Genomic DNA, 14,047 nt, shown 5'->3' on the forward strand with positions numbered 1-14,047 from the left:
AGCCTCCTCTTGGCTGTGACAATTTCTCAGGCTTTATTTTTGGTTTTGAGGAGGACTGGTCAGGTATTTTGTAGCATGCCCCTCTACTGGCATGTGTCTAATGTTTTCCTCATGATTAGATTGGGGTTATGGGTTTTGAGGAAGAAGACCACGGAGGTGAAGTGCCATTCTCGCTACATCAGATCAAGGGCACATCCTATCAACATGACATAAGACATTGACCTCAATCACTTGGTTGAGGTAGCGGATGTCAGGTTTCTTGGCTGTGAAGTTACTCTTTTTCCCCCTTTTCATACTGTACTCTTTGGAAGGAAGGAACTATACACATCCTAAAATTACAGTAGGGAATTACGCTCTACATCCTTGAGAGTGGGGTACCTACATAAGCTATCTGGAATTCTGCAAGGGAGATTTATTCCAAACCAATATAAATAAGTGAGTGAATAAATAAGTGAGAGATCTATTCTATTTTCTCCTGCTTATTTATTCACTCGTTTATTTATATCAGCGTGACACCATGGATATTTATTTTGCACTTTGGGTTACACTCTAGTACTACTTTATTTTGGTGCTCTTGGCTTTGGGAGGCCAAGGCAGGCGGATCACCTGAGGTCAGGAGTTTGAGACCAGCCTGGACAACTTGGTGAAATCCTGTCTCTACTAAAAATACAAAAAATTAGCTGGGCATGGTGGTGGGTGCCTGTGATCCCAGCTACTGAGGAGGCTGAGGCAGGAGACTCACTTGAACCCGGGAGGCATGGGATGCAGTGAGCTGAGATCCCGCCATTGCACTCCAGCCTGGGCAACAAGAGCAAAACTCCATCTCAAAACACACACACACACACACAAACAAGCAAACAAAAGAAACCAAGATCTAGGTGCTAGGCATGGGTGTTGCTACTAGGGTGTCATTGCCCCTGGAGTGTCATTGCTTCTAGGCCCTCTCAGCTGACAGAGCAAGGAAATATATGTGTGTACACTAACCGGTGCATATCCATATATCCATAAATATTTCTTTGTGTAGCCATCTGGATCTATATTAAGTTTCACATGAGTGCTTGCTGATGTCTTCAACTCTGCTCTATTACTACATCGATCAGTGTAGCCTTCTCCCCTTGCTTACCTGTAACCTCTCACTCCAACTGTGAGAAACCTGGCTTCTACCATCTGCTACCTATTTACTTCATTGTTTAATTCCAGTATACGTAAGTGCTGGTTTCAGAATTGTTAGCCCATACCCCCATGGGAAACGGCTTTGTCACTAGACTACAGTGCTTATGTGCCGTTCCCTTGGCCTTTCTCTTGGCCAGGCCTCGCTCATTTCTAAAGTTATACTTAGTTCAGTACCTTTTTCTCTCACCCATTTCCGTAAGCTTGTTTCAAACATTTGTACAAACTTTCCTTTTTTCCCTGTTAGGCGGATTTTCAGTCCAGCCTCAGACTGGAACCCCTTCCTTTTCCTGACTTCCTCTTTTTCACCCTTAGCTCTTCATCCTGAAACTGTGGTTTCATCCTGTTAGTCCTTCACCTGGGGTAGGCCAAGGAACATGTTTGGTCTCTATCCTGAAGGAGCAAAGATGTGTTCCCACAACCCGGGGAAGCATCTCATAGACCTCTGGGGGAGCAGATTGTCCAGAACAGAGAACCCATGAAACAAGAAAACCTTTCTTTCTCTTTCTGTTATTCGTGGCCTCTCATAGCATTACTTAGGTGTGTTATTAGGATAATTTAAGCCCCATCCACAGACATACGCGTGGAAAGGAAGAAAGGTGTTGAATGGAGACAGAGACCCCCACCCTGCCACATGGGGGACTGTGAGGACTGACTGCAAGGCAGGGTGAGACTCAGCCATGCCACGGCCATGCCACAGTACTACAGAGCATAGCTTTTCCAAGATCCAATCATTCATGATCGCAAGATTTCATTTGCCTTGAAACATTAAGTTCTTCAACTTTCTCTATTATTATTATTGTTGTTTTTAAATCAGAATATTAGAATACTTTGAAAAATCACCCAGTGCGCCCTGAAAGGTATTCTAAATACCATTCTCAATAATCCCTGTGGCTCTTATCGTGGGGAATCTGAAGTTTGAAGTGACATCTCTCATCAATTCTGCCCCTGGGGATAAAGTGGGAGACTGACAGCTGATCACTTCTTGCCTTTGATAAGCCTTTCTTATTCTAATTACACCTTTCCTTAAAGTAACTTTTCCAGCTTCCCACCCTCACCCTGCCCCTTATATCCCTGTTTAAAAGGAGCGTATTCAGATAGCTTGTGAATAATGATGCCTCAGGATGGTTTAATGGGGAAAAAGGAAACCTGTAGAGAGCCTTATCTTGAGTGAGTGTCTCAAGCATCCAAGATTATCTCCCTGTCACCCTGTGACCCATCTTCTTCATGCCACCTTTTAATTTTGGTAGCAATTACAGTGTATATGGATAATGCCCATTAGCATATTCATGGTCATCTCTTCATATTTATTGTCCGCACAACTCATTAATCTTCATCTACTTTGTGTGCTTGACAGCTCAATCTATTTTGCAATCTCTGGGAAGCAGCCATGGCCCCCCAAAGCCTTTGTTTTCCTGTAAATAAACTGTGTTGGGGACCAGGGGACAATGATGCATCCTGTGGTGATTGACACCAGCCACGGCTACTAATCAGGATGGGACTTCATTGCCAGCTGAGTCGAGTGCATTATGGGGCCATTGTTCCAATGCTGCCAGGGCAAGAACACACACAGCCAGTCACCTTCACAAGATGGGTTGATTGTTCTTCAAGATTAGACCGAGTTGCCTTATTATCCATCCCAGACAACAAGGCATCTCACCCAAACAGACGCATTTGCAGGAACAGCCAGCACACCGGCCAGATTTGAATTGCTAATGTATAATCTGCCCGGCACAGATGTGCAATGAATATTTGGATGTTGTTTTGCCCGTCAGTTGAGGAGGATGAATTGATGAGGTGATGAGTATTCAATGATGGGTCCTGGATGTTGGCCAACAGCAGAGGTTGAGCACTTGCATGGATGATCATCAGATTACCCCCCAAAGTGCCTGTGCCATAATTCAGCAGCAAATTCTAGGACAGTCTAGCAGAGTGTACTTCTGGTTGGTGGAAAGTTCCCTTTCTTTTCTGGTACAATTAGATGTTTCGCTGTGTTTTTCAGGCTTAGGAAAGATATAGAAGTTGCCTTTATTGCCCTTCCCTGCCAACTCTTAAGGATATGAATAATGGTTCAGGAGCTAACTACTTGGGTTTCAATTTAGCTTCAGCATTTTCTAGCTCATTTTCTTAAGTTATTTGTGCCTCTGTTTCCTCATTTGTTAAAACAGATTGAAAAATTCTACCACCCATCTAGAACTATTGTGAGGATTAAATCAGATAATGTACACAGACTAAGTGCTAGAACAGTGCCTAGTGCATAGTACATGCTGAAAAGATGTTACCTGTTACTGTATTGTTGGTCATTTGCTTTCTCTCAGTATTACTGTGGTCAAGTAGCTTGGATACACTGGAAATAAAATTAATCCATTTTCATTACCTCAGGAGAGCTCATGGCCTATAGTATGCTACTTTCCCTGGTACATTTCTGATAGAAAATGTACCTTTCCTATAGGAATGGAAGTTTTCCTATAGTTATATAACCATGGAGCCCTTTTTCCTGAAGCATTTTTTACAGCTTATTTTCCTTGGAACATATTATAGGAAAAGCAGCTCTAGAAGGTAAACATTTACAAAGTTTTGAAAGAAAAACATGTGACTCAAGAATTTTATATATAATCAAGCTATTTATATGCAAGACAATGGGAATTATACAAATGCATATATTCTCTCTGAAAAAATGTTATTCAAAGATGTGTTCCATAGAAAGGGAACAATGAATCTAAGGTAGAAACCAGTGAGACCAGTTGATTGTACTGAAGTAAGTCCAAACAACTGCGGCAAATATATTATCAAACTTGAAATAAAAAAATTAAAATATTTGAAAGAAATTATTTATATTGAAATAATGGGATAATGAAATACATCAATGAATAGCAGAAGAATGAAGAAAATCAGAAGGGAAAGCAAGTGTCCTTTTTAAGAAAAAAAAGGATGGTACAAAGAATATATACACATATACACATATATATTATGTATATATGTATTACACTTGTGTGTGTAGATACATACAGTGTACACATATACAGGTGTGTATATATGTGTGTGTACATATATACAGGTCTGTATATATGTGTATATATATGTGTGTGTGAGTATATATGTGTGTATATATATGTGTGTGTGTATATACACACACAGGTGTAATAAGAGCAACCTCAGTAATCTTTAATAAAATATTAAAAACCAATACTATAAGAAAAAACACTAAATCTAAGATTTCTCTATTTATTAGACAAACCAAAAAATATTCAAAATTAAAATATGGGTAAAATATGATTATTTAACGTGAACAAAGAGAAAGTCAGGTCTGAGGATATTAGTATTGAACAATGCAGAATTATGTAAGTCAAAGAGTATTAAACTGCTAATTTCATTTCTTTATCTTCAGTGCTATGCACAGGGTAGGTCCTAAATATATATGAGTAAGATTTATTGTGGAAGTAGAAGCAACGAGTGAAAGGTATGTGAGAAGGCATGATTTGCCTGCAAGGACCTCTTGAGGGTAAGTTTAAAAATAAATTTATTGACACACAATATTTGTACATATTGACAGTGTAACATGACATTTTGTTGCATGCATACAATGTGTAATGATCAAGTCAGGGTATTTGGGGTATTCACCATCTTGAGTATTTACCATTTCTTGGTGTTGGGAACATTTCAGGTTATCTTCTAGCTAATTTGAAATATACAATACATTGTTGTTAACTATAATCACCCTACTCTGCTATTGAACATTAGAACTTATTTCTTCAATCTAACTGTATATTTGTATCCATTAACCAACCTCTCTTCAACCCTCCGACCCCCTCCCAGCCTCTGGTAACTATTTTTCTACTTTATCTCCATGAGATCAATTTTCTTTTCTTTTCTTTTCTTTTTTTTTTTTTTGAGACCGAGTCTCGCTCTGTTGCCCAGGCTGGAGTGCAATGGCAGGATCTCGGCTCACTGCAACCTCCGCCTCCTGGGTTCAAGCGATTCTCTTGCCTCAGCCTCCTGAGCAGCTGGGATTATAGGCACCCGCCACCACGCCCGGCTAATTTTTTTGTATTTTTAGTAGAGACGGGGTTTCACCATGTTGGACAGGCTGGTCTCAAACTCGTGACCTCAGGTGATCCACCCACCTCGACCGCCCAAAGTGCTGTGATTACAGGTGTGAGCCAGCCCACCCAGCTGAGATCAACTTTTTTAGTGCCCACATATAAGTGAGAACGTATTTGTCTGTCTATGCCTGGCTTATTTCACCTAACATAATGACTTCCAGTTCCATCCATGTTGCTGCAAATGACAGGACTTCATGCTTTTTTATGGCTGAATAGTATGTCATTTTGAATATATACACCACATTTTCTTCATCCATTCATCTGTTAATGGACATGTTTCAAAGACTTCATATCTTTGCTATTATGGATAGTTCTGCAATAAACAAGGGGGTGCATGTATTCCTTTGACATACTGAGTTCCTTTCCTTTATTTATTTATTTATTTTTGGGGGGACAGAGTCTTGATCTGTTGCCCAGGCTGGAGTGCAGTTGAGCCATCTTGGCTCACTGCAACCTCCACCTCCTGGGTTCAAGTGATTCTCCTGTCTCAGCCTCCGGAGTAGCTGGGACTATAGGTGCATGCCACCAAGCCCAGCTAACTTTTTTATTTTTAGTTGAGACGGGGTTTCACCATGTTGGTCAGGCTGGTCTCGAACTCCTGACCTCAGGTGATCCACCGGCCTCAGCCTCCCAAAGTGCTGGGATTACAGGCATGAGCCACTGAGCCTGGCCCAGATTTCCTTTCCTTTGGATAAATAGCCAGTAGTGGGATTGCTGGATTGTATGGTATCTCTATTTTTATTTTTATTATTATTTTAAAAAATCTCCATACTGTTTTCCATAATACTTGTACTAATTTATATTCCCACCAACAGTGTATGAGTTCCCTTACTCTGCATCCTCGCCGGCATCTACTTTTTTTTCTTTCTTTTTCTGTTTTTTTTTGTTTGTTTGTTTTGTTTTTTGAGATGGAGTCTTGCTCTCGTTGCCCCGGCTGGAGTGCAATGGCAGGATCTCGGCTCACTGCAACCTCTGCCTCTTCAGTTCAAGTGATTCTCCTGCTTTGGCTTACCGAGTAGCTGGGATTACAGGTGCCTGCCACCATGCCTGGATAATTTTTGTATTTTTGGTAGAGATAGGGTTTCGCCATGTTGGCCAGGCTGGTCTTGAACTCCTGACCTGGTGATCCACCTGCCTCGGCCTCAAAAAGTGCTGGGATTACAGGTGTGAGCCACCACGCCTGGCCAATTTTTTTTTTCTTTTTGTCTTTTTAGTAACAGTCATTCTAAATGAGGTAAAATGTTGAAGTGCTCAACATCACTAATGAGCTATGATTAGTGATATTGAGCGTATTTTTATATACCTGTTGGCTATTTGTATGTCTTTTGGGAAATGTCGGATTTTTTTTTTTTTTTTTTTACTGTTGAGTTGTTTGAGTTCCTTGTATATTCTGGATATTAGTCCCTTGTCAGATGAGTAGTTTCCAAATATGTTCCCCTATTTTAACAGGTTGTCTCTTCATTCTGTTGTTTTCGTTGCTGTGCAGAAGCTTTTTAGTTTAATATAGTCCCATTTGTCTGTTTTTTGTTGTTGTTGTTGCCTACTCTTTTGATATCTTAGCTATAAAATCTTTGCCTAGACCAATGTCCTCAAGTGTTTCCCCTATGTTTTCTTCCAGTAGTTTCACAGTCTCAAGTTTTAGATTTAAGTCTTTAATCAATTTTCAGTGGATTTTGTATATGGTGAGACACAGGAGTCTAGTTTCATCCTTCTGAATAGGAATATCGAGTTTTCACAGCACCATTTATTGAAGGGGGCGTCCTTTTCCCAATGTATGTTCTTTGTGCCTTTGTCAAAAATCAATTTGCTGTAAGTATGTGGATTTATTTCTTGGTTCTCTATTCTGTTCCACTAATCTATGTGTCTGTTTTTAATACCAATACTCAGCTGTTTTGGTTACTATAGCCCTATAATGTATTGCATTGGGGGTTGCACTGTAAGGAACTGCATTACATGTGTTGATTGCTTTGAGTAGTGTGGTCATTTCAGCAATATTAATTCTTCCAATCTATGAGCATGGAACATCTTTCCATTTGTTTGTGTCCTCTTCAATTTATTTCATCAGTGTTTTGCTGGATACATTTATTCTTAGGTATTTTATATATTTTTGGTAGCTATTGTAAATGGGATTGGATTCTTGATTTCTTTTTCTGCTAGTTCACTATGGGTATATAGAAAAACTACTGATTTTCTATGTTGATTTTACATCCTGAAAATTTACTGATTTTGTTTATCAGATCTGAGGGTTTTTTTTTTTTTTTTTGGTGGAGTCTAGGTTTTTCTACATATAAGATCACATCGTCTGCAAAGAAAAACAGGCCAGGCACAGTGGCTCACATCTGTAATCTCAGCACTTTGGGAGGCTGAGGGAGGACTGCTTGGGTCCAGGAGTTCGAGACCAGCCTGGGCAACATTGGGAGATCCCATCTCTACAAATTTTTTTTTAAATTCAAAAAAAAAAGAAAACAAAGAGGGATAATTTGACTACCTCTTTTCCAATTTGGATGCCTTTTATTTCTTTCCCTTGCCTAGACTGCTCTCATTAGGACTTCCACTGCTATGTTGAATAGAAGTGGTGAAAATGAGCATCATTGTCTTGATCCAGTTCTTAGAGGAAAGGCTTTTAGCTTTTCCTCATTTGGTATGATGATGTCAGTTCTGAGTTTGTCATATATGGGCTTTATTATGTTGAGGTATGTTCCTTCTGCACCTAGTTTGTTGTTTTTTTCATGAGGGGTGATTAATTTTACTAAACGCTTTTTCCGCAACTATTGAGATGACCTTATGGCTTTTGTCCTTCATTCTGTTTATGTCAGGGGTCCCCAGACCCTGGGCCACAGACTGGTACCCTCCTGGAACAGCAGGAGATGAGCCAGTGAGGGAGCATTACCACCTGAGCTCCACCTCCTGTCAGATCAGAGGCAGCATTAGATTCTCACAGGAGTCAGAACCCCATTGTGAACTGTGCATGTGTGGGATCTAGGTTGTGCACTCCTTATGAGAATCTAATGCCTGCTGATCTGAGGTGAAACAGCTTCATCCTGAAACTACCCCCGACCCCCCACATACGATCCATACAAAAAACGTCTTCCACGAAACCAGTCCCTGGTGCCAAAAAGGTTGGGACCACTGGTTTACGTGATATATGATGTTTACTGATTTGCGTATATTGAACCATTCTTGTATCCCCGGGATACATTCCACTTGATCATGGTGGATTATCTTTTTGAAGTGCTTCTGAATATGGTTTACTAGTATTTTGTAAATGTACAAACTATTATGTGTCTATTTCATGAGGGATATTGGCCTGTAGTTTTCTTCGTTTGTTGCGTCCTTGTCCAGTTTTGGTATCAGCATAACACTGGCCTCATAGAATGAGTTAGGGAGAATTACCTCCACTTCAGTTTTTTGGAATAGCTTCAGGGGAATTATGTTAGTTCTTCTTTATAAGTTTGGTAGAATCCAACAGTGAAGCCACTTGGTCCTGGGCTTTTCTTTGTTGGAAGACTTTTTATTACTGATTCAATCTTGTTACTTGGTCTGTTCAGGGTTTTTCTTTCTTCCTGATTCAATCTTGATAGGTTTACGTGTCTAGGAATTTATCCATTTCCTCTAGGTTTTCAAGTTTGTCAGTGTATAGCTGTTCATAACAGTCTCTAATGTTCTTTTTTATTTCCGTGTTATCAGTTGCAATGTCTCCTTTTCATTTCTGATTTTGTCTATTTGGCTCTTCTCTCTTTTTTTTTTCTTGGTTAGTCTAGCTAGTGGCTTATCAGTTTTATCTTTTTAAAAACACCCAACGTTTCATTAATCCTTTGTATTGTATTTTTGGTCTCTATTTCATTTAATTTTGTTCTGATATTTATTATTTCTTCTACTAATTTTGGGTTTGGTTTGTTCTTGTTTTTCTAGTTTTTTAAGGTGCATTATTAGATCGTTTATCTGAAATCTTTCTACTTTTTTGATGTAGGTATTTATTGCTATAAACTTCCCTCTTAGTACTACTTTTGCTGTATCCCATAGGGTTTGGTATGTTGTGTTTTCATTTTCATTTGTTTCAAGAATTTTAAAAAATTTCCTTCTTAAGTTTTTCATTGACCCAGTGGGTGTTCAGAAGCATGTTTAATTTCCATGTATTTGTACAGTTTTCAAAGTACCTCTTGTAACTGATTTCTAGTTTTATTCCATTGTGGTCTGAGAAGAACTTAATATAATTTCAATTTGTAGAAATTTGTTGAGACTTGTTTTGCCTAATATATTATATATCCTGGAAAATGTTCTGTGTGCTGATGAGAATAATGTGTATTGTGGAGCTGCTGGAGAAAATGTTCTGTAAATGAGTGTTAGGTCCATTTTGTCTAAAGCACAGTTTAAATACATTATTTCTTTGTTAATTTTCCATTGATATGATCTGTCTAATGTTGAGAGTGGGGTGTTTAAGTCCCTCACTATTATTTCATTGGCATCTATCTCTCCCTTTAGATCGAATGAATTTGCTGAATGTACCTGGGTGCTCCAGTATTGAGTGCATGTACATTTAGAATTGCTGTATCCTCTTGCTTAATTGATCCTTTTACCATTACATAATACACTCTTTGTCTCTTTTTCCTGTTTTGACTTTTTTTTCCTAAGCCCTTTAATATTCACTTAAATAGTTGAGGCATAAACAATAATAAAACTACCTTTTTTATGTTACAAGAAGACTTTGTATGATATCTACATGATATACCAATTTTCTCATAATCTCTTTGGCAATAACATTTCATTAACACTCTAGTCCACAGGCTGATTCAACAGGGTCAGAAAGGCAGGCAGGAATATGTTAAAAATAAACTTATTGAGGGGTAAGAGGAATCCAAACATTTACTGACTATTATGCTCACTACTAGGTTTTACATAGTTAACATAAATTAAATGTGAATGTAAGTTCTAGTTATCTGTTAACAGAACAGCATTGCTACAGCTAGGTTAATTCTAAACTTTAAATGTTCTTTCACTTTAAGGACAAATCGTGGAACCAAACAATATGTCTTTGCCTCAAAATGCATGTCAATGTGCACTAATATATATTTTCCATTTCCAAAGTTTTTTTCACAAGTGTGCAACATTAGCACATGAAAACATTCAAGCTCTTGGCCGGGTGCGGTGGCTCACGCCTGTAATCCCAGCACTTTGGGAGGCCGAGGCGGGCGGATCACGAGGTCAGGAGATCACAACCATCCTGGCTAACATGGTGAAACCCCGTCTCTACTAAAAATACAAAAAAAAAAAAAATTAGCCAGGTGTGGTGGCAGGCGCCTGTAGTCCCAGCTACTGGGGAGGCTGAGGCAGGAGAATGGCATGAACCCAGGAGGTGGAGCTTGCAGTGAGCCAAGACTGTGCCACTGCACTCCAGCCTGGACAACAGAGCGAGACTCTGTCTCAAAAGAAAGAAAAAACATTCAAGCTGTTATTACTTCACTTGAACCTGGGTTTACATTCTCACCTGCCAAGCACTATTTGGCCAGCATCACCACAACTACCTGGATATATCACCCTGTTTTTGACTTGAAATCTATTTTATATGACACAAATGCAGCTACTTTTGCCTGTTGTACTTTCCATTAGAATGGAATATCTTTTTCCATCCCTTTACTTTTAGTCTGCATGTCTTTTACAGGTGAAGTGAATTTCTTATAGGTAGCATATAGTTGGGTCATTAAAAAAAAAAAAAAAACCCGTTCCGTCAGTTTTTTCCACTCTTAAGTGAAAAATTTCATCTGTTTACATTCAAGAGTGTTATTGATATGTGAGGACTTACTTCTGTCATTTTGTTAACTGTTTTCTTGTTGTTCTATATAATTTTTGTTCCTATCTTTCTTTCTTTCTTGTTTATCATTGCAGTTTGGTGATTTTCCGTAGTGATAACATTTGAGTCCCTTCTCTTCCTCGTTTGTTTGCTTTACCAATGAGTTTGATAGTTTTGTGTTTTTTCATGATAGTAGATAATCACCCTTTTGCTTCCAGGTGTAGAACTCCCTTAGGCACTTCTTGTAGGGCTGGTCTAGTTTTTGCTTGTCTGGGAAAGACTTTGTTTCTCCTTCATTTATGAAGGACAGCTTCGCTTGGTAGAGTAGTCTTGGCTGCCAGTTTTCTTTTCTTTCTTTCAGCCCTTTGAATGTATCATCCCATTTTTTCCTGGCCTGTAGGGTTTCTGCTGAAAAATTGGCTGTCTGATGGGGGTTCCTTTATATGTGACTTTTCTCTGGCTGTTTTTAGAATTCTCTCTTTGTCATTGACTTTTGACAGCTTGACTAGAATGTGCTGTGGAGAAAACTTGTGGAGTTACATCTATTTGAGGATCTCTGAGCTTCCTGTATCCTGTATCTGGATGTACACTTGGTACACTTGGGAAGTTTTCAACTTTTATTTCATTAAATAGGTTTTCTATAACTTTGGTCTTCTCTTCATCTTCTGGAACACCCACAGTTCAGATATTTGCTCACTTTTTTCTTCTTTTTTCATACTTCTCCTTTTCTGTTGCTTTTCTGTCTCCCTTCCCCTTCCCCTTTCTTTCTCTCTCTCTCTCTCTTTTTTTTTTCTGGCTTGTTTCAAAAGACCTGTCTTCAAGTTCTGAAATTCTTTCTTCTGCTTGATCTAGTCTACTGTTGAAGCTCTCAAGTGTATTCTTTTAAATTTCATTCCTTAAATTCTTTAGTTCCTGGATTTCTCTTTGGTTTCTTTTTTAAGCTATCTATATCTCTGGTGAATTTCTTATTCATATCCTGAATTTTTAAAATTTCACTGTATTGTTAATCTCAATACAATTAAGTAATTGTTAATGTGTTCTCTTGTATCTCACTGAGCTTCATTCATATTATTATTTTGAATTCTTTTTTCAGCATTTTATAAATTTGTTTTTCATTGGAATCTATTACTGGAAAATTACTGGTTTTTTCTGGAGGTGTCATACGTCCTTGCTTTTTCTTGTTTCTTGTGTCCTTACTTTGACATCTGTGCATCTATTTTAACAGTAACTTCTTCCATTTTTTTGGATTGGTTTTGATAGGGAGAGACTCTTTCCTAAAGATGTATCTATGGTGTTGGGTAGAGCACTTTAGCTTTGCTTCTGGGTGCATGCAGTAGTGTAGTCTCCATATGATTTCTTCTAGTGTAAAAAGCATTGGTGGTGTCTGTGATTTCCTCAGTGACTTAGGCTGTAGTTGTTAGTGGAGGCTGTGGTGAGGTTTTACTGAGGATGGGGATGCCAGGTTATCAGTCCTTATGCCCCAGTTGCGAGCCAAGTGTGTCTTTCCGTGGGCCTCCAGATGTATGTGAACACCAGCATTGGGGGTCCAAACGTGCCGATTCTTGGACCGCCAGGAGTCCCTTGCTATAGTGCTGGCAGTGACAGTGGTAGGCTGGGTGTGTGGCTGAGTCTATGAACCCCTGGATAATGTATGTGGCATAGGCAATGGCAGTAGCAGTGGTGACACAACACTTGGACTCTGAAACAGCATATGTTGGTGTTAGCGGTGGCTGCAACAGGCTTGGGAGGTGGTGCATGTGGGGGTGGGAGAGCCGCTGAGGTAGTAGGGGAGCTGCTGAGGTAGTAGGGGACGGCTGGGTAGACCCATCCATAGGTGCCTGGGAGGAGTCCACAGATGCCAGTGGTGGTGAATGAGGCAGGGCAATCCCCATACCCCCAGGTAGTGTGCTTGAGCATGGCAGGTGGGGGTTGTACCAGGCCAGGCAGGCCTGTCTTCAGGCCTCCTGGTGGTGTCCTCAGGTGCTGGCTGTGTTGGGCAGGGCAGGGTGCTCCCCAGACCCCTGGTGGAATGTTCTGGTGGCTGCAGCAGCAGCAATGGTTGGGGGAGCCTGTCCTTAGGGCACATGCAACTATGTAGCAGTGGCCCTGCTGTTGGCAGGTGGAGTCACTGCCAGTGGCATATGCTTTGGTTTCCCAGTGGCAGCAGCAGTGGCTGCAGTGGACAGTGGCAGAGCCTGTCCTCAGGGCATGTGCACAGCAGCTCCTCTGCTGGGGGCAGTTGAGTTGCTGCTTGTGGTAGCTCTCCCAGGTAGGCAGTTATCAGGCCTCAGGGAACATGCATTTTTGATTCCCTTTGTCCCAGGGGTAGCTTCCCTGGTCCACTGCACCACTCATTCCCCAGGGTGTAGGACACTGTGTGTGTTAGAATGCTGGGAACCCTGGTATTCTGCTGGGTCCATTTGGTATTGTGCTCCTGTAGACCTCTGGGTGTACATGGGGGTATATCAGTAGCGCTCCAGGCATGTGGAGATGCAGGGGCCATTTTGCCCCAGGGTAGAATGCAGTCTGGTGTGGGCTGGGCTTGCAAAACGGTGCCATGCTATAGCTGCTTAGGACTCAGGGAGCACATGGGACCCAGCATGCGTTCTCCCCCTTGAGCAATGCTGTTGCGTGGTCTCTAGGCAGCTCCCTATGTTAGGTCTCTGGGCCCATGAAGATCCAGGGGCTGTCCCATGGCTAGGGTTGCAAGTCTGTAGTGGGAATGTGGACCACTGGGGATCTCTCACTGGGGATCTCTCCCTTTCCCCACACTAGCCTCTCTGGGCACCTAGCCAATCCTGGCTGAGCCAGTTGCCTAATTTCCCTCTCCTTCCATGCCTCAACTGTTTCCTGTCACTTCTCTGTTGAATTCTAGTGTTCTCTTGGATGCTCTATTCAAATGCCTCTAGTCAGCCATTTTGAAGCCTTCCCCTAGGTCTCTTTTTCCCAGGCTTATGTCCCTAAGCTGCCTCAGCTGACCAAGTTT

The 14,047-nt window shown here is 40.7% G+C and overlaps 1 annotated feature.

Moving 5' to 3' along the window:
• Positions 4,390-4,559: an enhancer, noted in NCBI's record as "experimental_103898 CRE fragment used in MPRA reporter constructs". NCBI's record gives its function as "activates a minimal promoter by MPRAs in K562 erythroleukemia cells, with activity observed for both the introgressed and non-introgressed 9:101965633 variant alleles {active_cell/tissue: K562}" and the evidence as "EXISTENCE:reporter gene assay evidence [ECO:0000049][PMID:34662402]".

This window comes from Homo sapiens, chromosome 9 (assembly GCF_000001405.40).
Source record: "Homo sapiens chromosome 9, GRCh38.p14 Primary Assembly".
NCBI lineage: Eukaryota > Metazoa > Chordata > Mammalia > Primates > Hominidae > Homo > Homo sapiens.